The following is a 26,360-nucleotide window of genomic DNA, read 5'->3' on the forward strand; positions in this document are numbered from 1 at the left end:
TCCTGGGGTCTGGCCACTGGCCTTTCTGCTCTAAGGGGTGGAGGCTGAGCCCATGAGACCTTGCAATGAGCCTGCAGTGCTTCCTTGGCCATCTGTTGTCCAGGCCAAGCCTGCAGGGTGCCGGTGGGGGTGGGGCTGGCTCTCAGAGAGGTACTTGGGTTCTCATTGGCCAGGTCACCTGGCTGATAAGTGTGTGTGTGTGTGTGTGTGTGTCTGTGCACGTGTACCTATGTGCACCAGCCCCTGTCAGCACCCCCAGGATGGAGGCCCTTGCCTAGTCTCCTCACTCCTCTCAGAAAGCAGGACAGCCTGGAACCATCCTACTTGCCCCCAAGCTCAGCCCCCAGGCCCTGCCTGCCGGCCCCTGGCCCGCAGCCTTGGCCAGTGCCTGTTCCCTGCTGCATGGCCCAGGTCTCCTCCCTCTTCAGGGCCAGCTGGGCTTCCCCCAGTGCCACCGTGGCCTGGGGCTCCTGCATGTCCTGGGGTTCCCTCTGGTCTCTGTCCCTGAGCTTGAGGTCCTTGAGACTGGGTCTGCTCTGTGAATCTTCTGGGGCCCCACCCCAGGCCCAACTGGGAGGGCAGAGAGAAACCACAGAGAACCCACATGCCCCAGACCCGCACACTCTGGTCTGCAGAGATGATCCACTGTGTGTGTGTGTGTATATATGTATGTATGTGTGTGTGTGTGTGTGTGTGTGTATGTGTGTGTGTATATGTGTGTGTGTATGTGTGTGTGTGTGCACACACACACACCTGCTGGCCCAGCGACAGCGTGTGTGGGGTGAGAGGAGACTGGGGAGCTGCCTCCCCCAGCTCAGGCTGGGGCCCAGCAGCCCTCCGAGGCCATCTCTCCCTCCTGGTGTCTGGGCCTGGCCCCTGCTTGAGTGTGTCATGTGGGAGACACACGAGGCTGAGCCATGCAGGCATGTGTTCCAGTCTCAGCTCTGCCCCTTCTAGCGGGGGACCCAGTTTTCTTGTTGGTAACATGGGAGGGAGTGCCCAGTAGGGAGCCAGTGAACCTGTTCACAGCGTTCCTGACAAGAGGGTGTGCTGTGAGTGACGGTCCGTGTGTCCCCTCCAGGCCTGCACAGCGTGCCCTCTTCCTTCCTCGCCTGGTGACCCCAGCCCCTCCCTTCCTGGCTTCAGTACCCAGTGGGCCCCTATGCGTGGGGGCAGCATCCCCAGCGGCTGGAAGGTTACTGCAGGACCCCTCACTGCTGCCCACATTGGGAGAGGAGGCTGCAGGGTCCCCAAGGCTACCCCCGTCCCCAAACTTCCTTCCTTTGCCACCGCAAAGAAGCCCCAGGGCCGCCGTCGGCGCATGCAACTCACAGGCCATCATGAGGCCCAGGGGGGTGGCCAGGAGTGGGCTGCCCCACAACACTGCCCGTCCCCCCCCTTCCCTGTGGAAGGCTGGTCAGTGGGCACCTGCCGGCCACTGTGCTGCAACAAGACTGCCGCTGCAGAGGGCGGGGTCCACAGTGCCCCAGGTCACAGGATCAGATCCTGCTGGGAGCCACCCAAATCTCAGCCTGGCCTCCTGGGACCCTGGTCTTGGGAAACACTTGGAGGGGAGTGAAACTTGGACAAGTCACACCCACCCCTCGGTCCATCCTCTCCTGGGCCCTGGGGGCCTGGGCCTCTCCAGGGACACCCTCACTTCTGTCTGCACATATGCCCACCCATCTATTAGCAGCCTTAAAAATGTGTTAAATGCTTAATAATGTGTTGGGTAGCAATACGTTCACATAGGTCAAAATTTAAAAGATACGCAAAGGGTATAGGGTAAAAAGTCCCCTTCTTATCTCTAGTCTTCCTGCTCCCATTCCCAGAAGTGACCGAGGTTCCTTGCGGGACACTTGAGTTGTTAAAAAGGGATTCTTGCCCAAGGGATTTATATGAATGGTGACATTCTGGGCATTGGTGAGGAACCTGTTTTTGCTGGAGGTGGTTGACAGGATAGGGCAGTCGTTTCTTTTTTTCTTTTCTTTTTTTTTTTTTTTTTTGAGATGAAGTCTTACTGTGTCACCCAGGCTGCAGTGCAGTGGAGTGATCTCAGCTCATCACAACCTCCACCTCCCAGGTTCGAGCGATTCTGCTGCCTCAGCCTCCCAAGTAGCTGGGATTATAGGCACCCACCACCTTGCCCAGCTAATTTTTTGTATTTTTAGTAGAGACAGGGTTTCACCATGTTGGTCAGGCTGGTCTCAAACTCCTGACTTCAAATGATCCTCCTGCCTCAACCTCCCAAAGTGCTGGGGTTACAGGTGTGAGCCACTGTGCCTGGCCTGGGCAGTCGTTCTTGATCCCTATAAACATCAAATGAGGAACTCAAGGCTCTTAGACGGATAGAATCCTCAAATAATGGGCTCTTAGAATCTTGGGGAAAACAAAAGTCACCAGTAGAGGGTCGTGACTGCAAGTTGTCCATGTTCTTGGCGTTTTGAACAAAGAATTGGACAAAATGCCCAGCAAAGCAAAGAAAGAATGAAGCAACGAAAGAACGAAAGCAGGGATTTACTGAAAATGAAAGTACACTCCACAGTGTGGGAGTGGCCCGAGCAGCAGCTCAACAGCCCAGATACAGAATCTTCTTGGGTCCAAATATCCCCTAGAAGTTTCCCGTTGGCCACTTCATGCTCACCTCATGTAAATGAAGTGGTGGCCTGCAATCAACCTGATTGGTTGCGGAAAGCAGCCAACCAGAGGCTGAAGTGAAGTTACAAAGGTCACACTCCTGTGCAAACATCTGATTGGTTGCAAAAAGCAACCAGTCAGAGGCTAGGGTGAGGCCGGGCGCGGTGGCTCACACCTGTGATCCCAGCAGTTTGGGAGGCCAAGGCAGGCAGATCACTTGAGGTCAGGAGTTCAAGACCAGCCTGGCCAACATGGTGAAACCGTCTCTACTAAAAATACAAAAAAATTAACTGGGCATGGTGGTGGACACCTGTAATCTCAGCTATTCAGGAAACTGAGGCAGGAGAATTGCTTGAACCCGGGAGGCGGAGGTTGCAGTGAACCGAGACAGCACCATTGCACTCCAGCCTCCCTAGCAGCTGGGATTACAGGTGCCCGCCACCACGCCCAGTTAATTTTTTTGTGTGGGTTTTCCTTTCAATATAGTTCTAGGAAGTAGGAACGAAACAGCCTTAGGTTCCCTGCCTCCTATTCTCCTGCCTCATCATGAGAAGCTCTGCTGTTTGTGGGGCGCCCACCATGTGCTTTACTCTGGTGGTGTATGATGTTCCTGCTTTCCCTGGACTCAGGGCTGGCATTTCGAATCAGCTTCTGGACTCAGACACCTCTGGGCTGGAATCCTAGCTCTGCGCCTTCCTAGCTGTGTGACCTGTGTGAGTCACTCCACCTCTCTGGGTTCCATCTCCCTGTGTAAACTGGGGAGGATTACACAAGAAAATGCAAGAGTTGGCTGGAGGAGGGCCTGGCTCTCCAAGAGCATCCTCCTACCTGTGGCATTCGTTGTTATTTATCTGCACTACCTCCTTTAAGCCATCCCTGCCAACCCTCTGAGTGTGCCAGTGCCATCTCCAGGAGGTCCCAAGGAAATGTCACTGTCCCAAGCAATGTATGGAAAGACACAGCTCTAAGCAGTGGAGTACCAGGGCCCAGGTGGTCTCCACGCCTCAGCCCACAGTGGGATGCCCTCCTTCTCCAAAGTCTGGAAGTCAGAGCTCCTGGCTGTCCGGCAAGGAGGGGGCTCCCAGAACCTGGGCTGGAGGCAGTCACAGGGCCTGCGTGGTTTTTGAGCAGCCTCTGTTACAGTAGACAGACGTGAGCAGGGCAGGAGAGCACCTAGGAATGTCACGCAACCATCAGGTGATAGGCAGTTGTTACACTGTCTCTCTAAAATAATAATTGGTCGCAGCCAGCACCAGGGAAAGGCAGTTTCCCAACATAGGTGTTTCTCTTACATAGAAGCACCTAGTACTAGTGATCAGCAACTTCCCGATAAGATCTCAGGAGTCGGGTGAGTGGGCTCAAGCATAAGCACTAAGAGGCAAAATGGCAGAGCTTAACTCATGTATGACCTTCCTCGGGAAACCCTCGACGGGTAAGGGAAGAGCGCCTCACATGAGCATGTGCACCACTTCAGTAAACACACCGCGCATGCGGCCCCTCCCAGGTGCTGGCATGGCAGGCCATGGCGGCGCGTGCGGACAGCCCAGCCCAAGGGAAGAATCCTCAGAAAGAATGCAATGGCCCCCCGCCGGAAGTGGAAGCATGTCAACGTATAAAACCCCAAGTCAAAGGTCAAACCACACACTAGAATCCCTCAAGTCACCCGCTTGGCCTTCCAGGTGTACTTTCCTTCCTTTCATTCCTGCCCTAAAACTTTTTTTTTTTTTCTTTTTTTTTTGAGACAGAGTCTTACTCTGTCACCCAGGCTGGAGTGCAGTGGTGCCATCTTGGCTCACTGCAACCTCCGCCTCCCGGGTTCAAGCGATTCTCCTGCCTCAGCCTCACAAGTAGCTGGGACCACACCTGGCTAATTTTGTATATTTAGTAGAGACAGGGTTTCACCATGTTGGCCAGGCTGATTTCGAACTCCTGACCTCAGGTGATCCGCCTGCCTTGGCCTCCCAAAATGCTGGGATTACAGGCGTGAGCCGCCACGCCCGGCCACTTTTTTCTTTTTCTTTTTTTTTTGAGACAGTCTCACTCTGTCGCCCAGGCTGGAGTGCAGTGGCGCAATTTTGGCTCACTGCAACCTCTGCCTCCCGGGTTCAAGCCATTCTCCTGCCTCAGCCTCCCAAGTAGCTGGGACCATACCCGGCTCATTTTTTATTTTTAGTAGAGACAGGGTTTCACCATGTTGGCCAGGCTGATTTCGAACTCCTGACCTCAGGTGATCCGCCCGCCTTGGCCTCCAAAAGTGCTGGGATTACAGGTGTGAGCCAGCGATCCCACGATCCCAGCCTTTTTTTTTTTTTTTTTTTTTTTTTTTGAGATAGGGTCTTGCTCTGTTGCCCAGGCTGGAGTGCAGCCACATGATCTGGGCTCACTGCAACCTCCACTTCCCGGGTTCAAGTGATCCTCTCACCTCAGCCTCCTGAGTAGTTGGGACCACAGGTGCCCACCACCACGCTGGCTAATTTTTGTGTTATTATTTTTATTATTTGGTAGAGACAGGGTTTTGCCATGTTGCCCAGGCTCTTTCTCTAAAGCTTTTAAATAAACTTTCACTCCTGCTTTCAAACTTGTTGCAGTCTCTCACTTTGCCTTAGACTTCTCAGTTGAATTCTCTTTTCTGAGGAGGTAAGAACTGAGGTTGCTGCAGACCTGGATGGATTTGCTCCTGCTAACATACTTCAGTGCTTCATGACTTGGATATAGTCTCTCCCGGTAACACCTCCCCTCCCCTCCTCTTCCCTCCCCTCCCCTCCCCTCCTCTTCCCTCCCCTCCCCTCCCCTCCTCTTCCTTCCCCTTCCCTCCCCTCTCCTCCCCGACTTCCTTCTCCAAACAGCCCCATGAAGCAGCACTGGGCTTCCCAAGAGAGGTCCTGCCACGTGACTGGCCTCTGTCATTGGCAGAACCCTGCATAGGCCGTAGCTCTGCAGCTGTTTTCCTGGAAATTATGCCGGCTCCGAGAAGGGCCCATGTTCTACAGGAACCCCAGGCAGAAGGGACCGGAGCTGCACTTAGGCATTTTGCATCAGTACCAGAGAGCTGTGGTGAAAGACTAGAGTTTTAGGAGAGCTGAACTTGGGGAGGAGAGTGGCCGCTTGCAGCTGGCATAGAGAACTTCCTATGCCCATGAGTTCCACCAGGACCCACTCCTCCAGGAAGCCCTCCTACACCACACTATTTGGAAGGCCACTGGGGTTGGGGTCCTGCTGCCCCATAGGCCCTGCTTTCTCTCCCATGGCCCTTCTCCAGCAAGGACAGTGGGTCAGGCTCATGGAATAGCTGCAGAAGCCATACCTCATCAGGCCTCGGTTTCTCCATCTGCCAAATACGAAAAGGAATCCTTGGCCTGGCTTCCTCCTAGGAGGAAAGGGGCAGGGGGGCTATCAACAAATCGACAGTGTCCCGTGGGGCTGGGGTGGGGCACCGCCTGATGGTACATGTCTGGGCTGCTGAGGGTCCTCATGCTCCCTCCTTTGCAGGAGGGGATGTGCCGTGAAAGTGGCTCCTGGTCAGCTGTCCTGGCCATCCCACAGTCCCGGAGGAGGTCAGCAGACTTCAGCCAGGGTCTCATGGAGCTGTAGGTGATGCTGAGCAAGTCACTGCTCCTCTTGGGGAAGGCTGGGTGGCAGCAGGGACCTCAGGCTTAAGGCCTCAACCTCTGTGCCTGCTTCTCTGAGACTCAGTTTCCTCATCTGTCAACAGGGAACACAATGGCCCCACCCCATGCAGACAGTAGGGCATCCCCAGGAAGAGTCTCAGGGCTGGTGACAGCCTGAGAAGTGAAAGGGAGAAGCAGGGTGAGTGTTGGGGTCCTGGGAACCAGGGTTAGGGCAGTGGGAAGTGCAAGTCATCATGCAGAGGGAAGTGGGCCCGGGCTGCTGGGGGAGGGGCTAGGTGACCCACCCTGAGGTCAGCACCACTCTTGTGACCAAGGCTAGCAGCTGCAGCCACGCCTCTGGCCAGGCCCAGCCACCTATAGGCCCTCTGCCCCTCGTGATCACCCACCACCCTGGGCCCTGCTCCAGGTTGCTCTCCCTTCTGCCTTCGACTGCCCTCTTCTTCCTTTTTTTTTTTTTTTTTTTTTTTTGAGATGGAGTTTCACTCTTGTTGCCCAGGCTGGAGTGCAATGGCGTGATCTCAGCTTACCGCAACCTCTGCCTCCCAGGTTCAAGTGATTCTCCTGCCTCAGGCTCCCGAGTAGCTGAGATTACAGGCATGCACCACCACACCTGGCTAATTTTGTATTTTTAGTATTTTGTATTTTGTATTTTTAGTAGAGACGGGATTTCTCCATGTTGGTCAGGCTGGCCTCGAACTCCCGACCTCAGGTGATCCGCCCGCCTTGGCCTCCCAAAATGCTGGGATTACAGGGGTGAGCCACCATGCCCAGCCCCAACTGCCCCTCTTCTAGAGAGCTTTCCTCTAGGTGCCTTCAAGAATGCAGAGAGAGGGCCAGTAATGTGCCTCCCTGTGTTATTCTCTGGTCCGTGCTGAATCGGCCTTTTCTGCTGCCCTACAGGGCGCAGGTGGAGGTTTAATTAATGGACTAAATGAGGTAATGAAAAAGATTGGGAAAAATTTTTTTCAAGGTGAAAAAGGAGTGAAGGATAGTACCTCCCATTTCTGCATCTAAACTCCTTGGTCTAGAAGTCCTTTCTTGTGTCTGACTTAAATACATCAAGCTGAATTTCAGACGCTGAGCAACGTTGGAGGAGAAGCAAGATAACACTGTGCTTAGTGAAGGGGCTCCTAGCTTCACCACTGGCTGGCACATGACTGGACCGCTCTGTGCCTCAGTTTCCTCATCTGTGAAAAGAAGAGAGTTAGTGCCCACTTCATTAGGCTGTCCGATGAAATCGGCTAATGTATACAAAACACTTAGAACAACGCCTGGCACCGGTGGAGATCAACAAACATCAGCAGTCTACCCAAAAGAATTGAAAGCAGGAACGTGAACAGATATTTGCATACCCGTGTTCTTTTGTTTGTTTGTTTTTGTTGTGAGACAGGGTCTTACTCTGTTGCCCAGGCTGGAGTGCAGTGGTGCAATCATGGCTCACTGCAGCCTTAACCTGCCAGGCTCAGGTGGTTCTCCCACCTCAGCCTCCCAAGTAGCTGGGGCTACAGGTGCACCCCATCACACCTGGCTAATTGTTTGTATTTTTGGTGGAGACAGGGTCTCACTATGTTGCCCAGGTTGATCTTGAGTTCCAGAGCTCAAGCGATCCACCCGCCTGGGCCTCCCAAAGTGCTGGGATTACAGGCATGAGCCACCACACCTGGTATACACACCCATGTTTTATAGCAGCACTGTACACAGCAGCCAAGAGGTAGCAGCAATCCCAGTGTGCACAGAGAGATGAATGAATGCACAGTGTAGCCCATCCATACAATGGAATATGATTCAGCCTCAAAAAGGAAGGGAATTCTGATACCTGCTACCACATGAATGAATCTTGAAGGCATTATGCTGAGTGAAATAAACCTGACAACGCCCTCCTGGCAGATGCAGACACAAAAGGATAAACGCTGTGTGACTCTATTTATTTGCAGTACATAGAATAGTCAAGACCACAGAGACGAAAGGTAGAATGGCGGTTGCCAGGGCCCGGAGGAGAGGGAAAGAGGAGTTAGTGCATAGTGGGTAGAGTTTCCGTTTTGCCAGGTGACGATTTCTGCAGGTGGAGGGTGCTGTTGGTTGCACGACCCTGTGAATATACTTAATGCCACTGAACTGTGCACTTAAAAGATTATAAATTGCATTATGTATATTGTACCATAATAATTTTTAAACAGTCAGCTGTCATTGCTCTGGCAGACAGAAGGGAGGGAACATCCCATGTGTCGTAGCCTCTGAGGCCCTGGGTTGCGTGCGAGGAGCTGACCGTGGCTCCTGGCCAGGTGCTGGCACACTCGCCTTCTAGGCTAAATGGAGAGGTCATTGCCAGTCTGCTCCTGTCTGCTGCCCTCCCCACCAGGCAGAGCCCCCTGCTCACTGCCCCTGGCCTGTGCCCTGGGGAGCTGGGGAATGGGACAGCCGCTGGCCACTGGTCACAAACATCGCCACCCAGCATGTGATGCTGGCTTCCTGCTGGGGAGGAGCCGTAGGCTGGCCTTTGGCTCCTCTGGAAGTGCCTGGCCTCTTGGGAACTGCTTTCTGCATCTGCGAGAAGAGGGTAAGGACTGCTCCTGCCCTATGGGCCCCATTGGCTGTCATCCCTTGGGCCTCCATGCTGCCCCATTTTCAGAAGACTTTCCTTGTCTTGAGGACTTCACGTATGTTACCATTGACCCTCATGCCTGAGCTTAGAGAGGGGAAGTGACTGGTGCAGACACAAGTCCAAGGCAGCAGCCTCGTTTCCCAATCCCCAGCCGGTGCTCTGGGCGGGCCACTGCCGTCAGTGGGGGACAAGGGTGGCAGCCCCGCCTCAGCCCTGCAAAGCCCGTGGAGACCAGGGGCTGCCTTCGAGGGGACAGTGGGGCCTAAGGCCTGACAACGCCCTCCTGGCAGATGCAGACTTCCCGAGCAATTTCCCGATCTGCTTGGGAATGGGAGGGGGGGTGAGGGGGTGGGGTGGGGGAACAGAGTCTGGCAGGAGAGGCTTGTGGGGATTGCACAATGAGGCCACAGCAGCCAGCCGTGAAGGCAGCCACCGGCCAGGGCCCCTCAGCCCGTATCCTCATCGCCCCTGTGTGGATGAACTCCATCTGCGCGGTGCCGGTGGAAGGACCCTCCCAGCCCCGGGACACCGCGGCTCTGTGGACTCATCTGAAAAATGTCATCCCTGGAGTCCTAGGAGAGAAGGGGTGGGGTTGGCAGCCTTAACGCCCCATCCTGCATCCTGGCGGCCTCCCGCATCCGCTCCCCCACAGGTTCCCCAGAGACAGGATGATGGATGGCAATCCGAGTGCAAACCTGGCGCTTGGCCAGCACTCTGGAAGAGGAAGTTCTCAGTTCCCAGGGCACCTGAACCCACAGCCGCCCCCACTCCGCTGGCCCCCCTGGTCCTGGAAGACCTGTTACTAGGCTGCAGAAGGGGTGGCGGAGTGATCAGGGGGCGGGGAAAGAGGCCAAACAAAAGAGGGGAGGAGCAGAGGCCCCAGTGAGGCAGGAGGGAAGCCCCTGCCCAGCGGGAAATTCCTAAATGTCTGGGTCCTTTCCAGAGGGCAGGAATTCCTAGCCTAGAGTGTGAAATAAGGAAGGAAGTGAATCTCCAGTGGGTTCCCTTCACAGCCCCTTTCCATCCTCCCCACATGCCCCACCCCCACATCTCCCAAAACAAACCCTGAGAGACGGTGTGGATGGGGAGACAGGCCTGGAAACGGAGGCCTGCGCTGAATGGGCAAAGCCGGGTTGATGATCCAGACGAGGCCCTGGAGTCTGGGCCTTGGGCCCCTCCCCTTCTGCCTGCTCCGGCAGCCTGTGGGTCCAGCCCCAGCCCCAGAGGGGGAAAGGCTCCAGTGGGAGTCCCATAGGCCTGGCTAGGAACCCCACTCCGCTACTTAAAGTGGTGTGAGCCGGGTCAGCCACTTCACCTTTCCGCATTTACGCATTTCAAGCAAGGCTTGACGACCGGAGGGGCTCAAGGCCCTGTGCACAGCCGCGCGGCCAGCACTCTGGCCAGCCTTGTAGCCCCCTTCCCCTTAGGGGGCCTCCTTCAGGAAGCCCCCGTCCCCTGCCTCCTTGTGGCCACGGTGACACCGGAACACTTCAGAGGGGCGGCTGGGGAGTTGGGGTGGGACGGGCTCTCCCGCAGCTGGAGCCGGTGTGTGACGCGGGAACGCGGCCAAGCGCGCCCCATCCAGGCGGCCTATCAGGAGCCGTCGTCGGACAATGGCTCCGCGCCTGACAACCCCGTCGTCCCCGTGCCGTCCCCCGAACTCCACATACCATGCGACGCGCGGCCAGCCCCCCGCCCCTGCCCGGCTGCTGGGAGGAAGTGACAGCGCCCCGCATCCCCCGCTGGGCAGGCCGGGCGCGCCCAGCCCCTGGGACGCAGGGACACAGCCGGGCCGCGCTGGGCCTTGGCCTCCGCCCGCGGGTTTTCCGCGGTTGCGGCGGGGCGGGGAAGGAGGGGCGGGCGGGGCGGGGCTGACTCTGCGACTATTTCAGGCCTTGCGGAACCCGGGCCAGGACAGTGGCGGCCAGGCCGGGACACGGTAAGTGACCTCCGCTTCCACACGTCCATTCCCCGCCGCTCCGCGCGGCTTCTCGCCCGCCCCTACCCCGAGGCCAGGCCGGATTCCCCGAGGAAAGAGCCTGTCGCCGCGGCGGGGACAGGAGGGGGCTGGACGCTTCCAGGGAAACTGAGGCCCTGGCGCGCCCAGCGTCCGCGCGTCCGGGCGCAGAGGGGCCAAGGCTGGCTGAGGGCCCGGGCCTGCCAGAGGCAGGGAGGGCGGGGCTGGGGCAGGCGCAGGGGTCTCCCCTCCATTACAGCAGAAAGGCCCCAGGTCCGGCGTGACTCCCCGGCCGGGCGACACAGGCCGAGTCACTTCCTCGCCCGTGCCCGGGTGTCCTCATCGGGGGATGGGTGCGCCTTCCACATCCTGCCCAGGACTGAAGGAGCCGGGCCCAGCGAGCTCCCGGGAGGTGTGTGGACATCAGCCCTGACGGGGAAGGCGAGCCAGGTCAGTGGACCTGAGGAGAGGCCGGGCAGCAGGAGGCTGGGGGGCGCTGTTGAGCCACTGGCTGTGACCCCTCTACGAGCCTCCCAGCAGGCCCCTTCCTGCCTCAGTGGGCCCAACCAGCGGCAAGGCTCAAAGGAACGCCCCTCCTCCCCTTCTTCCTTTCTGGCTGCACCGGCTCGCTGCTGCCTGCAGGACAGACTCAGGACACAGGAGACTCACCCCCACTGAGGCCCAGCTAGGCGCCCAGCACTTGGCTGTGCGGTTTGGCCACATCCCCTCAGCAGCACTGTGGGGTGGGGGTCCTCATCCCCTTTTCAAAGACGGGGAAACGGCGGCTTGTGAAGGAAGGAGGTGTGCAGTCCACACACTAGTGAGAAGTGTGCTGAGCCCACACCGAAAGCGTTTCTCTTTCCATGGCACCAGCTGCCTCGGAGAGCGGAGACCTGGGGCGAGGCCCAGGGGGCTGCAGCAGGACCTTCAGGCGCTCTGGGTTTCGTGTCACAGAGGGGAGAAGGCGGTGATGCTGTGGGGGTCCTGCGGGAGCTGTGCCTGGAGGTGGGACAGAGCCTAGTACATGTGGGGTGGGACAGGGAAGGCTGAGGTGAGGCTGGCAGGGAGCATTGCTGGTAAGGGCCACCCTCCCCCACCCCAGGAGAATGGCAGAGGTGGGGCCTGGGCACCCAGGGTGGGGCTGAGTGGCCCTGCCAGACAGACCAGCTCCCGCGGGTGCTAGGCATGCACCTGAGAGGGGCTGGGAAGCGAAGTTGGGGCACCGGGTGGGGAGCAGAGGTGCCCCATGGCCTTGCCCCTGGGGCTCCCTGGAGCATGCCCCTCTTGGTCCTGGAGTGGAATGCTCAACCCAAATGGCACTAGGGAGGCCAGTGCCATCCAGGAGTGTGGGACTCTGCCCAGGGCACTGGGTGAGCATGGCAGGGGCTGGGGGTGGGAGGAGCCCAGGCTTCCTGTCCCTCAGGTGGCTCTGGCCAAGCCCCTCCAGGATGGGGACAGGGTAGTGGGGCTGGTGGAGGCAGCGGGGCCATGGGAAGAGTCGGATGGGCCCAGTCTGAGCCTCCATGGCTGCTGTGCTTGGGGCAAACACCTCCTACTCAGCCTCAGTTTCTCCTTCTGGATGGTGGATCATCCTGCCTGCCTTGCAGGGCTGTTTCAGGGGTCACTTGAAGTTACCATGATACATGAGACAAGGCTGCATGCATTTAGTCTTGGGGTGGGGCAGACAGGTGGCATCAAGGTTACAGGTCACCCCAGTTCTTGGGGAGGCCCAGCCCCTGCCTGCTTCCCCCTTTCAGATCAGCCATGCTCTTCTCCAGTGGACCTGGCCTTGCTCTGACAATGGTCAGGTGCTGGGCAGGGACTCTGGGGAAGCTCGGGTCTTGCCTCTCTGGATGTAGCTTGCAGGATAGCTGGGGATGTGGAGGCAGGGGAAAGCTGGGCTCTGGGACCGGGTGGCCTGAGTTCCAAGCCCAAGCTATTGACTATAGGGACAGTTTAAGCCGAAATAACACCCTTCCAGATGAGAGAAAGGAAGAGATGGGATGGGCACCCAGGAAGGCTGCAGAAACTGGAAGCCTTTGTGATGATGCTACGATCCCATTTGGGAGGGGGTGGGAGCCAGGAAGCCTGGGTTCTGGACCCGAGTTGCTGTGTGACTTCAGGCCGCCCTGTGACTTGCTGAGCCCCTTGCCCCAGTGATGTGTGAAAGGCTGTCTGAGGTCCCACCCACTGTGGCTTCTGTAGATCCTGGTCAGGCTCTGCCCCTTTCATGGCCCAGCTGGAGCAGCTGTGTTTCTGTGACCCCACCGCTGGATCAGAACTGGACAAGATGGCAGAGGGGCTGGGTCTGGGCAGGAGGAGGCTGGGTTCCAGTCTCAGGCCGGTTCTGGTGTTCTAGACCCCGGCATGTCCCAGACCTTTCTGGACCTCTGTTCCTGCTCTGTCCAAAGGGACAGAGCCCATGCCCCGCCTCTTCCCTAGGGTCCCGTGGGATCCAGGGAGGTGTCCATTGCCTGCTTCCTGCCCAGAGGGTGGGCTGGCAGGGAAGGATTTGCCCAAGTAAAGTGAAAGTCCCCCTCTGTGTGGCGGGCTTGGCGTCCCCAGCCTCTTCCTTGCTTCTGGGGCTGTGAAGTATTGGAAGGGGAGCTGTAGATGGTGAGATGCTCGTGGCCAGGGAGGAAGCACAGTTGTTGGTGCTCATCTGGGCCAGGAGATGAGCAGAGCCCCGGTGGCTGAATGGGTGAAACAGACTGAGTGTACTCAATGCAGCCAGCATAGCTGTGTGTCCAGCCTGGGAGCCAGGGCCGGTCCATGGTGACCACTGATGCCTTCACCCCCACCCCGCAGGAGCCTGCAGGCCTGAACCAGGGTGATGCTGAAGATGATGACCTTCTTCCAAGGCCTCTAGAGCCATCAGCCTGTGCCAGGCACCCTCGACTTGCCTAGAGGCCCCCAAAAGTTGCAGTCCACATCAGAGGCAGAGTCAGAGGCCTCCATGTCGGAGGCCTCCTCTGAGGACCTGGTGCCACCCCTGGAGGCTGGGGCAGCCCCATATAGGGAGGAGGAAGAGGCGGCGAAGAAGAAGAAGGAGAAGAAGAAGAAGTCCAAAGGCCTGGCCAATGTGTTCTGCGTCTTCACCAAAGGGAAGAAGAAGAAGGGTCAGCCCAGCTCAGCGGAGCCCGAGGACGCAGCCGGGTCCAGGCAGGGGCTGGATGGCCCGCCCCCCACAGGTGCTCTAGGACCCTGGGTTAGAGCTAGTCTGGGGCCTGGACGGGGTTGGCGCTCATCCGCGTGAGTGAGCCACTTGCACAGTGGGCCGGCAAGTGGGGCTGGAAGGCGCGTCTGTCTCCCTGCTTTCACCTGTGCCGCAATCTGGGGGGCTGGGAGGCCTTCAGCCTAGTCAGGGACACCGACATCACCCTTTAGGGTGTTGGCCGCCGGCCCTGTGCGCGTCTAGGGGAGGACGGTCCCGCTTGGCGCTGGCCGCCCCGCCCGGTGGGCGGTGGGCTGGGGCCGGGGCTGACGCGGCTTTCCCGGCGCAGTGGAGGAGCTGAAGGCGGCGCTGGAGCGCGGGCAGCTGGAGGCGGCGCGGCCGCTGCTGGCGCTGGAGCGGGAGCTGGCGGCGGCGGCGGCGGCGGGCGGTGTGAGCGAGGAGGAGCTGGTGCGGCGCCAGAGCAAGGTGGAGGCGCTGTACGAGCTGCTGCGCGACCAGGTGCTGGGCGTGCTGCGGCGGCCGCTGGAGGCGCCGCCCGAGCGGCTGCGCCAGGCGCTGGCCGTGGTGGCGGAGCAGGAGCGCGAGGACCGCCAGGCGGCGGCGGCGGGGCCGGGGACCTCGGGGCTGGCGGCCACGCGCCCGCGGCGCTGGCTGCAGCTGTGGCGGCGCGGCGTGGCGGAGGCGGCCGAGGAGCGCATGGGCCAGCGGCCGGCCGCGGGCGCCGAGGTCCCCGAGAGCGTCTTTCTGCACTTGGGCCGCACCATGAAGGAGGACCTGGAGGCCGTGGTGGAGCGGCTGAAGCCGCTGTTCCCCGCCGAGTTCGGCGTCGTGGCGGCCTACGCCGAGAGCTACCACCAGCACTTCGCGGCCCACCTGGCCGCCGTGGCGCAGTTCGAGCTGTGCGAGCGCGACACCTACATGCTGCTGCTCTGGGTGCAGAACCTCTACCCCAAGTGAGCAGACCAGGGGCTGGGCCCGGGCCGGCAGGGAGGGTGTCCTCTGTAGGAGGGGTGTCGAGGGGTGTCGAGGTGTGCCGCCGGCAGCTTTTAGTGAGGTCGGTGTTTGCAGAGTTTTGGGTCCGAGAATGCAGGGGTGGGACTTGGACTCCCTGGGGCAGAGCCTGGACAGGCAGAGACTGGGCCTGGACACAGGGATAAGGCTGGGGCTGGGTCTGCGTTGCTCTTGGAATCCTTAATTTCCTGGGCCTCAGTCACATTCTGCTGTTGGGGAAACTGAGGCACAGAAAATGGTAGGGATTTCATTCACGAGCGCCCAGTCTGAGGAGGGGGCAAAGCAATCAATAACCATCCAGAGCTGGAAGGGCTGTGGCAGCAGAGGCCAGGCCCCGTGCAGAGCATGGGCCCAAAGCAGGCCTGGAGAAGTCAGGGAAGCCAGCCTGGAGGAGGTGAAAGCCAGCGGTCCTTCTCTGAGCCAGGGAATCAGGCCAGGAGGCAGGAGGAGGGGTGATAGGGCAGGTAGGGGAGAAGGTGAGAGGAAGGTCGGTGCTCCTGAGCATGTCCTCTTCCAGGGCACTCTGGAGCTGAGCAGAGCTATGCGGGCACCCCCAGGCAGGAGAGTTCCAAGTGATGGGCTAGGGCCACGTGTCTTGTTAGACCCCCATTGTGTAGGGTTACCCTGTGAGCCCGCCGCAGAGCTGGAGCCCCTCAGGTGGGAGGCTGGCTGTGCAGCTGGTACCCCTGCTGAGTACAGCCTCAGGCGTCCCTTGACTCCATAGATCCCTGGGCGTGCCCGTCATTCGCACGGTCTGCATGGAGAGAGGCTTACTGCAGTGTGGAAAGGCCCAGGGCGGGGGAGTCCAGGGGCTGTTATTGTGGGGCTTGGCCACTGCTGGCCCCAGATCCTAGTGTGAAACTTTAGGAAGGAAGCCTGGAGGTATAGACAGTGTGGGCAGTGTCTGCCGTCTCGGGGGCCTTGGGTGGCCTGTGGGCTCAGTTCGTGTTGAAGGGTCAGCCTCTGGCAGAAGGATAGAGAAAGGGTCCAGTGGAGAGGGTGGGAGAGGAGTCAGCAGGGCATAGGGGAACTGGCACAGGGCAGGGGCCACGGGAGAGATAACCCAGCCCAGAGCCAGTTCCCGCTTGCTCGTCCTGACTCACCAGGAAATGCCGGGCACCTGCACCCCTGCCTGCCAGTCTTTCTGTCCCAGTGACCTCGGGGTCTGCTGGCCTGGGGTTAGCAACAGGCAACTAAAGCCAAGCTGGGCATGGAGCCCTGGTGAGAGGGTGCCCAGGGGGGCATCGTTGAAGCCTGTGTGCCAGAAATGTGGGGAACGGAGGGACACAGCTGCATCTGGATTGGGTGAGGGGCAGAGAGAAGGTCATTTGTAAACCTCTAGGCAGACAAAGGGCCCTTAGGAAGTGCCAGGGCTGGGCAGTCCCCTGGGAGCTCTGGGGCGCTGCAGAGGCGCCAGGACAGTGAGCCAAGATGCGTCTGTGGAGCAGTTTGGGGCAGCCCTTCCTGCCCATTCTGGCCTACCCCTGGGATTGGGAGGTGGCCGGGGCTGGTGAGATGCCCAAGACCTGCAGGGCTGGAGCGCAGTGGGCTGGGAGCTGGCTGGATTCCAGGGCTGCTGTGAGTAGGAGCAGGGTTTTATCTGGGTGACAGGTAGTCTTGGAGCAGGAAGAAGATCAGATCTTAAAGGTGGCTCTGGCTGCTGGGTGAAGAAGGAATTGTTGGAGGTGAGGGAAGGAGCAGAGAGGCCGGGAGGAGGCTTTTGCAGTGAGCCAGCGGGGAGCTGATGGGAGCCGGCCAGGGCGCCAGAGTGGCATGAGGCTGCTGATTTTGGGGGCTATTTTGGAGCAGGACCTAATGGGGGGGGGGTGGTGAGAGAGTCAGAGGAGGCATGATGACTTCAGAGTTTCTGTTCCAAACCAAACTAAGTAGATGGAGGACCCATCATCTGAAATGGGGACCGGGTGGGGGTGCGGGAGGGTGTGCTGGGCAGTCTGGGCCTGCCAGAGACCAAGGCTGAGGGCCTGGGCTCTAGCTTGAGTGGTGGTGCTGATTTGGTATAGTTGTCCTCATGCCAGCCTCCCCTGCCTGCAGTGACATCATCAACAGCCCCAAGCTGGTGGGTGAGCTGCAGGGTATGGGGCTCGGGAGCCTCCTGCCCCCCAGGCAGATCCGACTGCTGGAGGCCACATTCCTGTCCAGTGAGGCGGTGAGTCTCCACCTGGGCCAGGGAGGGGCAGGGAGGCAGCAGAGGAGAGGCTCGGAGACAGACAGGACATGGGCAGGGAGCTTGACGGGTCTTCCAGGTGAGCGAGGTGAGGGATAGTGCCCCAGTGACCTGCCCCTCCTCCTCCAGGCCAATGTGAGGGAGTTGATGGACCGAGCTCTGGAGCTAGAGGCACGGCGCTGGGCTGAGGATGTGCCTCCCCAGAGGCTGGACGGCCACTGCCACAGCGAGCTGGCCATCGACATCATCCAGGTACTGCAATCTGCCCCAGGGCACACGTACCGCCCGTGCACGTGCATGGGGAGCCCCACGCACATTCCGTCCTGTGTGCATACCCATGCCCACCTCGGGGCACCCCCTCTGTTCCCGCCTGTTTCCTCCCCGTCCCCTGCCCCCTTGTCCAGGCGAGCCCCTGCTCAGCTCACCCACCACCACCCTGCAGATCACCTCCCAGGCCCAGGCCAAGGCCGAGAGCATCACGCTGGACTTGGGCTCACAGATAAAGCGGGTGCTGCTGGTGGAGCTGCCTGCGTTCCTGAGGAGGTGGGTGTGTGCCCAGGATGGGGTCCCTGTAGCCACCGCTCTCAGAGCCACGGCCCCTCCCTAGTGCCTCAGGTGGGGAGCTGAGCTGGATCCCCGCCCTCTACCCCTGTCCCTGTCATTCTGAGCCAGGAGTTGTTTCCCACTCAGCCAGGGCACTGAGAGCCTCAGGTGGTCTGACCTCCACCAGGATTCAACGTGGGAGCCTCTTGCGCCCACCCCATCAGCAAAGCTCTCAGCAGAGCAGCCTCTAGCTTCAAAGAGGATACCCCAGGAGGGACTGAGACCCCGCCACCCCTTCATACAACACTCCTAGTCTCCACCACCTGAATTCTCTCTGCTCTCTCCCTCTCGACCTCTGAGGGCTTCTCCAGCCAACCACACGCTCACTCCTACCTGGTCTCCCAACTCTAGAGAGGGCCTGGGAGCAGCAGAGATGGGCTGGTACCCTCTTCAGGAGCCCAAGCCTTAGCTTGTGAAGCCAGTTCCATGATGCCCAGGGGCTAGCGGCCCCTCCCTTGGCTATGGGCAGCCAAACAGAAAAGTGAACCCCAGGAGCTGGCAGGGAGGGCAGGGAGGCTGCTGCTGTGGTCCCAGTGTTTGGGCTGGTCCTGAATGTGCCCCTTCTGGTTTCGCCAGCTACCAGCGCGCCTTTAATGAATTTCTGGAGAGAGGCAAGCAGCTGACGAATTACAGGGCCAATGTTATTGCCAACATCAACAACTGCCTGTCCTTCCGGTGAGAGTGTTGGGAGGGGCTTGCGGGAGTGGGAGTCACTCAGCGGGCAGGAGAGGGGAGCTGGAAGGTGGAGGGAGGAGGAGCTGCTTAGGCCAAGAAGTGGAATTCAAACCAGCAACATGTGTGAGGACTCCACGGCCTGCAGCAGCAGCAGCAAACATTTCCCAAGTGCTGGCTGGGGCAAGCACACAGGCAGATGTTTCACCCATTATCTTATCCTTAAAGCAACCCTGTGAAGTAGGTATAGTGATCTGTCTATTAGGCAGATGGGCAAACCACTGGAGGAGGCTCACTTGCCCCCAGTTACAAGGGGATGTAGTGGAGGAGTGTCCTGAGGGCATGGAGAACATGGATGGGAGGACTTGATCCCATAGAGAATGGGGAGCCATTGAGGGTTCTAGAGTGAAGAGAGGGGGCTGTCTGGCTCCCTGGGTATGGGGCTATAGGCTGAGCAGGGCTGGGGTGACCTCTCTGCCTCCACCTTCCAGGATGTCCATGGAGCAGAATTGGCAGGTACCCCAGGACACCCTGAGCCTCCTGCTGGGCCCCCTGGGTGAGCTCAAGAGCCACGGCTTTGACACCCTGCTCCAGAACCTGCATGAGGACCTGAAGGTAGCGGGAGCCTCTTGCCCTCAGGAGCCCAGTGTTGGGGGGTTCCCAGGGAGGGACTGGGAGGTGCCCCCAGGGAGGAGTGGCAGAAGCAAAGATGTGGGGAAGACACGCTCCAGGCCTGTGGACGGCACCGTGGGCCAGCTCTGGTGCAGCGGTGATGCCCGGTTGGGGACCCTAGCAGGCTCTGAACTCCGCCGATCATGTCCTGGGGTTTCACCTGAGAGGGGCCGCCTGGGGCTGGGAGGGGCCGCCTGGGGCTGGGAGGGGCCGCCTGGGGCTGGGAGGGGCCGCCTGGGGCTGGGAGGGCCTGGAAAAGTTTCACTGCCCCTCCCCGATTCAGACACAGCCCAGTCCCAAGCCTGCAGACACCTTTCCTTCAATCCCCTCAGCCCCTCCTATCCACCCCCATCCCCGCGCCTGACTCCCAGCAACTGAGGCTCAGGGTCATCGGCAGCTGGGGTTATATCTGTTATGGGCCAAGAAATCCACAGAAAATGCTGTGAAAACAAGTAGTTCCTTTAGCAGGGTGTAAAGTGGGGGGTCTCTCAAAAGGAAGGGGAGAGGTTCTCTTCCCGGTGTCAGGGACTAGCGGCCATGGGTGGCCTGAGTGTGGTGGAAGCCCGAGCGGTGACCCCACATCCCCTGGTACTGATCTCCCTGGCCCAGCCAAGCACAAGGTCTTGTTTATGAAGGAATTTATTTATTTAAGTGGCAGTGGACTTGGCCTCCGGGCCGGCAGACAGGCTCTCCTGGCTCCTGAGCCGCACTGGGTGACCTTGGATAAGGGTGCACAGAGCCGGCTCCCACTTCCTGTCTGTGAGCAGGGACCTGAGGTTGGCCCGGGTTCCCTGGGAGTCCTTGAGTGCCCCCCGCCCCTCCACCAGGCACATGTGTCGGTGTGTGTCTGTGTCTGCGTGTCTGCGTGTCTGCGGCTGGCAGCCCTTCCTCTCCAGGGCGTGACTAGACATCCTGCCTCTCCTGTCTCAGCCACTGTTCAAGAGGTTCACGCACACCCGCTGGGCGGCCCCTGTGGAGACCCTGGAAAACATCATCGCCACTGTAGACACGAGGCTGCCTGAGTTCTCAGAGCTGCAGGGCTGTTTCCGGGAGGTGAGGAGGCTCTGGGCTGGTGGCTGGGTCTTGGGGAGTTGGGGGCAGCCCGGACACGCACACTAGCACGTCTGTGTACACTCACGCACATGTGCTCACACGCGCACATGTGAACACACGTGAATGCACGAGCATGTGAACACGTGCACATGTGAACACACGTGAAGGCACGAACATGTGAACGCACGAGCATGTGAACACACACATGTGAATGCACGAGCATGTGAACACATGCACACATATGAACACACGTGAAGGCACGAGCATGTAAACACACACATGTGAACACGTGAACGCATGCACATGTGAACACACACGCATGTGAACGCATGAGCATGTGAACGCACACATGTGGACGCACGAGCACGTGTGCAGTCTTTTGCTCTGGCATCTGCCTCTCTCTGGAGGCCTGGCTACAAGGCTTCAAGGGAGGTGGCGAGCTCCCCATCAGCAGACAGCTCACACGCCCCTGGCTGCTTGCCCTCCCAGGAGCTCATGGAGGCCTTGCACCTGCACCTGGTGAAGGAGTACATCATCCAACTCAGCAAGGGGCGCCTGGTCCTCAAGACGGCCGAGCAGCAGCAGCAGCTGGCTGGGTACATCCTGGCCAATGCTGACACCATCCAGCACTTCTGCACCCAGCACGTAAGCCGCTGCCCACCTCTCCCAAGCCCCTCTGAAATGGCTGCCTCTTCTCCCCTAGCCCTTTCAGGGTCGGAGATAGGCCGCTGGTGCCTCTCTAAGCCCAACGAGTCGCTGACCCGAGCCTCTGGACCCCTGGGTCCCTCCAACCACACCCACTCCTGCAGGGCTCCCCGGCGACCTGGCTGCAGCCTGCTCTCCCTACGCTGGCCGAGATCATTCGCCTGCAGGACCCCAGTGCCATCAAGATTGAGGTGGCCACTTATGCCACCTGCTACCCTGACTTCAGGTGAGAACCTGGGGCACCTCAGGACCACTGTCACATCACTGTGGCCAAGGCCTCACAGGGCTGGCATTGGGAACCCAGATCCTGGCAGCTGCCCACGTGCCAGTCACTGTGTGAACCTCACCAGGGGCTCATTCTTGTGGCCTTCACCACAGCACTACGAGGACAATACTTCCCATTCCCGTTTCACAGAGGAGGCCTGGAGAGCTCACAGGATGTGTCCAAGGTGACACGGCTAGTTAGTGTCTGGCTGCATGGCCCACACTCTTAGCTTTACCTGACACTGCCTCTCACAGGGGAGACTGAGACCAGAGAGGCCAGCTTCACCCAGCCTGGGGGGCCTCTGCGGCCTAGGCCTATGCTCTGGGACCAGGGCTCATATTCGGGAGTGGAGGCTTAGCCCTTGGCTGCCTGAAGTTCTGGTGGGCCAGGGACATTGTTTCTTCCTGGGCTGGGTCCTCTGACATGTTAGGGTAAGTTTGAATGGGTCTTGACAGGGTTGACCCCAGCTTCGCCAAGTCCAGTCCCTGTCTGATCCATTCCACCCATTCATTCATTCACCCACCATACAAGCACCCATCTGCTCATCCACCCATTCCTTCACCCATCTGGCTATCCGTCTATCTTCTCACCCACTCATCACCTGTCTACCCATCCACCCACCCACCCACCCACCCGTCTATCCATCCATCTATTCATCCACCTACCCATGTAAGCACCCATCCACCCATCTACTCATCCATCCACCCCTCCACCCATTTAGCTATCCATCCACTCAACCACTCACCCACCCACCCATCCACCCATGCATCTACTCACTCATCCATGCTCCCATCCCTCCACCCATCTAGCTCTCATCCATCTGCTCACCCACCCACCATCCATCTACCTATGCCACCAACAATTATGGAGAAGTCTGCTAGGTGTCAGCCTCTGTTCTAGTTACCAGGATGCAATGAAGTACAAGGGAAGCCAGGTCTCAGTCCTCCCTTAAGTAGCTCATTCTGTTGAGGGCCAGCAATACTAATGACATAATCAGGCAAAGAAACAGACAATTACAAGTTGTAAATAGGGTTTAACCAAGGTTGTGAATGATAGGAGGTGCCGACTTTAGAGACAAGAAAGCCTTTTGGGGGTGGACATCTTAGCGGAGACCTAAGGGGTGGGAAGAGGCGGTCATCTCAGGGCCTGGGAAGAACATTGCAGGGGAACAGCCGGTGCGGAGGCCTGAAGCAGGCTGGGGCATGGCTGCTCTTGGGACCATCAGGTGGAGGGCATGGGTGAGGGAGAGTGAAGTGCAGCCCCCTCGTGGGCCGGGCGTTGGCTGTCGGGCCCTGTGGCACTGGCCGGGAGTGCAGGGAGCTGGTGAGTAGGGGTGTGGGTGACAGGCTGGGCTGACAGGATGCTCTCTTTGCCAGCAAAGGCCACCTGAGCGCTATCCTGGCCATCAAGGGGAACCTATCCAACAGTGAGGTCAAGCGCATCCGGAGCATCTTGGACGTCAGCATGGGGGCGCAGGAGCCCTCCCGGCCCCTATTTTCCCTTATAAAGGTTGGTTAGCTTTTCCTGTGGCCTGACCTGCCTGTGAGTGCCCAGCAAGCCTTGGGCACACCCCGCTGGGAGCTGTTAAGAGCAGCGCTGGTTCTCGGTTCCTCCCGGGTCTCCTGTGCTCTGATGCTACTTCTGCCTAGCCCTGGCGGAGGTGCAGGCCCTGTCAGCTGGAACTGGACAGACCTTGGTTTGTTTACATGTCCGATGGGGGCAGGAGCTCCCATCCTGGGCAGCCAACCAGGCAACACCAAGGACTCTTTGTAAACGATAGCTGATCGTGTGCACGCAAGGAAAGAACCAGGAGGGAGAGTGCAGCCAGGCTCAGGGATCCCCGGACACCTCTGTCCAGAGCCCCTCCACAGTCGGCCTCATGACTGTCCTCCTCGTGGGTGGGGCCGAGGGCCCTCTTCAGCTCTCTGGAGACAGGGGCCGAGCCTCACCCATCTGCCCTCTGCAGCCCAGGGCCGCCGTGAGCGGGATTCAGCAATGGTGGAATGGAAGACAGAACTGGAAGAGAAAGAAGGAAAAGATGAGCTCTCGTCTGGCAGGGGCTTTTAGGGTCCTGTGGCGAGCTGTGAGCACCGCCAGCATTAGACGTCACATCCAGGTGGCCCCACGGCCCCTACAGGCTGGCCCTGCAATGGGGCCCTGAGCCCTCCCTCTTCATCCCCCAAGGCCTCAACTAGAGGGTGGTCCCCCGAGGGCTTGGTGTCTACTACCGAAGGGCCCAAGACCTCCTGGGTCCTCTCAGGCTCCCCCTTCCCCAAGGCAGGGACAGGCCCTGGGGGTGCCACCGTGGGCCCTGCCACCCAGAAGTCTGGCTGAGGTCTGGGCAGGGGCAGGGCAAGCTTGACCTCTCACTGTTGACCCTTTGGCCTCTGTATTTGTTTCCTATTGCCGTGACAGGTTTCCACAAACTTCGTGGATCAAAACGAGGTCTTCCAGTTCTGCGGGTCAGAAGGCTGACCCGGGGCTCAAATCTGGGTGTCGGCAGTCCTGCACTCCTTCTGGAGGCTCTAGGGGAGAATTCATTTCTGGCCTTTTCATTTTTAGAGGCTGACCGTAATTCTTGACTTCAGGCTCCTCCATCTTCAGAGCCAGCTGTGGGTAGTTGAATCTTTTTCCCGTCACCTCATTGAGGCCTCCCCTCTCCTGCCTCCCTCCACCACTTTTTTTTTTTTTTTTTTGAGACAGGGTCTTGCTGTGTTGCCCAGGCTGGAGTGCAGTGGCCTGGTCATGGCATCAAGGCTCACTGCAGCCTGGACCTCCTGGTTCAAGTGATCCTCTTGTCTCAGTCCCCTGAGACAATCCCCCACGCCCAGCTACATATTTTTTGTGGATACAGGGTCTCATTCTGTTGCCTAGGCTTGTCTGGAACTCCTGGGCTCAAGGGATCTTGTAGCCTTAGCCTCCTAAAGTGCTGGGATTATAGGCATGAGTCACTGTACCCGGCCTGCTCTACCGCTTTTAAGGACGCTTATGATCACATTGCGCCTACCCAGAGAACCCAGGTCGTCTTTCTATTTTCAGGTCAGCTGATTAGCCACCTTAGTTCCATCTGCAACTTTAGTTCCCACTGGCTGTGTAACCTAACATAGTCACAGGCTCTGGGGACTGTCACGTGGACATCTTTGGGAGGCCGTTATTCTGCCCACCGCACCCTCCGTTCATCCCCTGCCCTGCCGGGCACCTCGCTCTACCCCAGGAAAATGTGAGCTCGTTTTCCTGCTCGGCATGTGCTCCCCCTAAGGCTCTGCTCCTCCCTGGGCCTGAAAGTTCCTTCTCAGCCTGAGAGGGGGCCCTTCGGACTCAGGCATGACTCAGCCCGGCTGATGCCTCTGCAGTGCTGAGTCAGGATTTGGGGCCGGCTCTCTTGGGTCCGTCCCCTTTTCCCAGGTACTGCCTTACAAAGCTGTGGCCAGGAAGTGGCCGGTATAAAGGATGCCCAAGGTCTTTGTACGTGTGTAGGAGTTAGCGTGTTTGATATTGTTAATATAATAATAATTATTTTTTAGAGTACTGCTTTTGTATGTATGTTGAACAGGATCCAGGTTTTTATAGCTTGATATAAAACAGAATTCAAAAGTGGCTGTGGAGTGATTTATTTTGGGAGCTGCACAATGATGGGGGGCCCAGCCAGGCAGCCTTAGCAGCTTTCTGAGCCTCTAGGGGTCCGGGCAAACCTACCTAGGTTCTGTGTCAATCCCCAGCCTGTCCCAGCCCCCAGAGCACCTCATGTGGTCCAGGCAGGAGATGGCCCACCATCCCCTCACTGTGAGCAGGAGCTTTGGAAGTGTCTGCCTGTAGGGCATGGACAGTCACTTCACCCTTCCGTGCCTCAGTTTCCTCATCTGTAAAAAGGGGACTGTGACCCTTTGGGGCTTCCTCCACCGTCCTTTACTGAGGAAGAGGGTGGGGTGGACACGGGGCAGCCATTTCAACCGCATGCACGGGACACAGAGTGGGAACTGACTCTTACCATGCTGGCATTGACCTGAAAGCTACAGCTGTGGACACAGGAGGTCTGGTTTGTATTCAGAGACGGGCTCAGCTGCCACGGAAGGGTGGGCCTCTCCGCAGCCAATCTGGCCTGGAATTTGGGAAGGAGCAGAGTCCCTGGAAGGGAAGAAGGGTACCTTGATGAACGTTGCACAGAGGCCGGGGAGGGCCCCAAGGGGAGCCGTGTGCACCTGAAGAGGGGTGTGGGCTTCAGCAGGGCCTGGGACAGCCCGGAGCTGGGGGTGGGGGAGGGCAGGCCCTTTCTCCTGAGTTCCATTCTTGGGGCCAAAGCGGATGGCATGAGGCCACCGTGCAGTGAGAGAAAGGAGGGAGACGAGGGCCAGGGGCAGTGCGGCTTGGCACGGAGACCCTCTGCCCGGCTCCTGGACCCGCCGGTCCATGTGGCTGCGAGGTCCTGGCCTGGTTGAGCCACGTGGGGAGCGTGGGCCTTGGGCGGGCGAGTTCCCGTTCCTCTCCTCGGAGCACAGGGTCAGGGGGAAGTGGGGGCAGCGCGACTCTCCCCTGCATGGCCCCCTGACCCTGGGCAAACGTGGGGAGAGATGGCGCCTGAGCCCCGATGGAAGCTGTCAGTGGGCCCTGGCACACATTCTCCCACGGGGGCGGACTTAGGTCCCAAAGTGACCCCCAGCCTCGCGGCGGCCAGGGCGGGCCGAGTCGTCGGAGCGCGGCGGGACCTGGGGCCAGGTGGACCCCCCTCCCCGGGCTGCGTCCACCCCTGGCAGAGGGGCGGGCTCCGGGCGCGAGGCCCCAGGCGAGGAGGAAGAGGGTGCGGGCGGCGCCTTGGAGGTTCCTGCTGTTCCTGCTTTTCGGGGCGGGGGCCTTCCGGGTCACTGTCCCGCCAGCTGTTGGATCTGCACCAGTAACTTCTCCAGGAAAATCCCCCGGAGAGGAGGATCTGCCCGGCGGAGGGGAGCGAGTCCCCCAGCGCGGGGACAGGGCGGGCGGAGCGGGGCCTGGGCCAGGCCTGGTGCCTTTGTGCAAGGACGGGCCCCGGGCTGCCCAGGCTCCTGTGAGCAGGGGTGGAGCGGGGAGGCCGCAGCCCCCGCGGAACACCGGGCGCCCCCGGCCTCCAGCAGTGGGAAGCAGCCCGGGGGCTGACGCTCCCTGCAGGAGCCAGGAGCAAGCAAACAAGCAGCTTGAGTGCAGGCGCGGGGACGGGCCGGGG

The 26,360-nt window shown here is 59.4% G+C and overlaps 1 protein-coding gene and 1 long non-coding RNA gene across 8 annotated transcripts, besides 9 other annotated features; one reads left to right on the top strand and one right to left on the bottom strand.

The window, feature by feature from the left end:
• Window positions 615-664: an enhancer, noted in NCBI's record as "active region_9096". NCBI's record gives its function as "activates an Ori minimal core promoter by ATAC-STARR-seq in GM12878 lymphoblastoid cells {active_cell/tissue: GM12878}" and the evidence as "EXISTENCE:reporter gene assay evidence [ECO:0000049][PMID:35858748]".
• On the bottom strand, window positions 8,173-10,233 carry LINC00677 (long intergenic non-protein coding RNA 677). The gene is made up of 2 exons (NR_138038.1): window positions 9,933-10,233; window positions 8,173-8,355 (listed from the first exon to the last, which is right to left on the bottom strand). It is a non-coding gene; the product is annotated as a long intergenic non-protein coding RNA 677 (long non-coding RNA).
• Window positions 8,793-24,763, top strand: TNFAIP2 (TNF alpha induced protein 2). Of its 7 annotated transcripts, XM_047431737.1 has the most exons (15): window positions 8,793-8,923; window positions 10,761-10,807; window positions 11,699-11,830; window positions 13,634-14,016; window positions 14,329-14,953; window positions 17,064-17,178; window positions 17,326-17,448; window positions 17,639-17,739; window positions 18,376-18,474; window positions 18,963-19,086; window positions 20,074-20,196; window positions 20,686-20,841; window positions 21,006-21,127; window positions 22,543-22,675; window positions 23,133-24,763. In XM_047431737.1, exons 4-15 carry the CDS (start codon window positions 13,782-13,784, stop codon window positions 23,325-23,327), a joined length of 2,151 nt encoding a protein of 716 aa, XP_047287693.1. In that variant the 5' UTR covers window positions 8,793-8,923; window positions 10,761-10,807; window positions 11,699-11,830; window positions 13,634-13,781; the 3' UTR covers window positions 23,328-24,763. The 7 variants fall into 7 exon arrangements, with proteins under 7 accessions (XP_047287693.1, XP_011535415.1, XP_047287692.1 ...); XM_011537113.3 differs by lacking the exon at window positions 11,699-11,830; XM_047431736.1 differs by lacking the exon at window positions 11,699-11,830 and having other exon boundaries at window positions 8,793-8,823.
• Window positions 9,716-10,248: an enhancer, noted in NCBI's record as "H3K27ac-H3K4me1 hESC enhancer chr14:103588729-103589261 (GRCh37/hg19 assembly coordinates)". NCBI's record gives its function as "activates a minimal SCP1, AML or CMV promoter by ChIP-STARR-seq in primed H9 embryonic stem cells {active_cell/tissue: H9 hESC(primed)}" and the evidence as "EXISTENCE:reporter gene assay evidence [ECO:0000049][PMID:30033119]".
• Window positions 10,249-10,782: an enhancer, noted in NCBI's record as "H3K27ac-H3K4me1 hESC enhancer chr14:103589262-103589795 (GRCh37/hg19 assembly coordinates)". NCBI's record gives its function as "activates a minimal SCP1, AML or CMV promoter by ChIP-STARR-seq in primed H9 embryonic stem cells {active_cell/tissue: H9 hESC(primed)}" and the evidence as "EXISTENCE:reporter gene assay evidence [ECO:0000049][PMID:30033119]".
• Window positions 10,447-10,726: a silencer, noted in NCBI's record as "silent region_6145". NCBI's record gives its function as "represses an Ori minimal core promoter by ATAC-STARR-seq in GM12878 lymphoblastoid cells {active_cell/tissue: GM12878}" and the evidence as "EXISTENCE:reporter gene assay evidence [ECO:0000049][PMID:35858748]".
• Window positions 11,027-11,076: a silencer, noted in NCBI's record as "silent region_6146". NCBI's record gives its function as "represses an Ori minimal core promoter by ATAC-STARR-seq in GM12878 lymphoblastoid cells {active_cell/tissue: GM12878}" and the evidence as "EXISTENCE:reporter gene assay evidence [ECO:0000049][PMID:35858748]".
• Window positions 15,534-16,299: an enhancer, noted in NCBI's record as "H3K4me1 hESC enhancer chr14:103594547-103595312 (GRCh37/hg19 assembly coordinates)". NCBI's record gives its function as "activates a minimal SCP1, AML or CMV promoter by ChIP-STARR-seq in naive H9 embryonic stem cells {active_cell/tissue: H9 hESC(naive)}" and the evidence as "EXISTENCE:reporter gene assay evidence [ECO:0000049][PMID:30033119]".
• Window positions 19,593-20,163: an enhancer, noted in NCBI's record as "H3K4me1 hESC enhancer chr14:103598606-103599176 (GRCh37/hg19 assembly coordinates)". NCBI's record gives its function as "activates a minimal SCP1, AML or CMV promoter by ChIP-STARR-seq in primed H9 embryonic stem cells {active_cell/tissue: H9 hESC(primed)}" and the evidence as "EXISTENCE:reporter gene assay evidence [ECO:0000049][PMID:30033119]".
• Window positions 20,164-20,732: an enhancer, noted in NCBI's record as "H3K4me1 hESC enhancer chr14:103599177-103599745 (GRCh37/hg19 assembly coordinates)". NCBI's record gives its function as "activates a minimal SCP1, AML or CMV promoter by ChIP-STARR-seq in primed H9 embryonic stem cells {active_cell/tissue: H9 hESC(primed)}" and the evidence as "EXISTENCE:reporter gene assay evidence [ECO:0000049][PMID:30033119]".
• Window positions 22,636-23,137: an enhancer, noted in NCBI's record as "H3K4me1 hESC enhancer chr14:103601649-103602150 (GRCh37/hg19 assembly coordinates)". NCBI's record gives its function as "activates a minimal SCP1, AML or CMV promoter by ChIP-STARR-seq in naive H9 embryonic stem cells {active_cell/tissue: H9 hESC(naive)}" and the evidence as "EXISTENCE:reporter gene assay evidence [ECO:0000049][PMID:30033119]".
• Window positions 24,764-26,360: the final 1,597 nt, after the last annotated feature.

The sequence above is a fragment of the Homo sapiens genome, chromosome 14 (assembly GCF_000001405.40).
Source record: "Homo sapiens chromosome 14, GRCh38.p14 Primary Assembly".
In the NCBI taxonomy this organism is placed as follows: domain Eukaryota; kingdom Metazoa; phylum Chordata; class Mammalia; order Primates; family Hominidae; genus Homo; species Homo sapiens.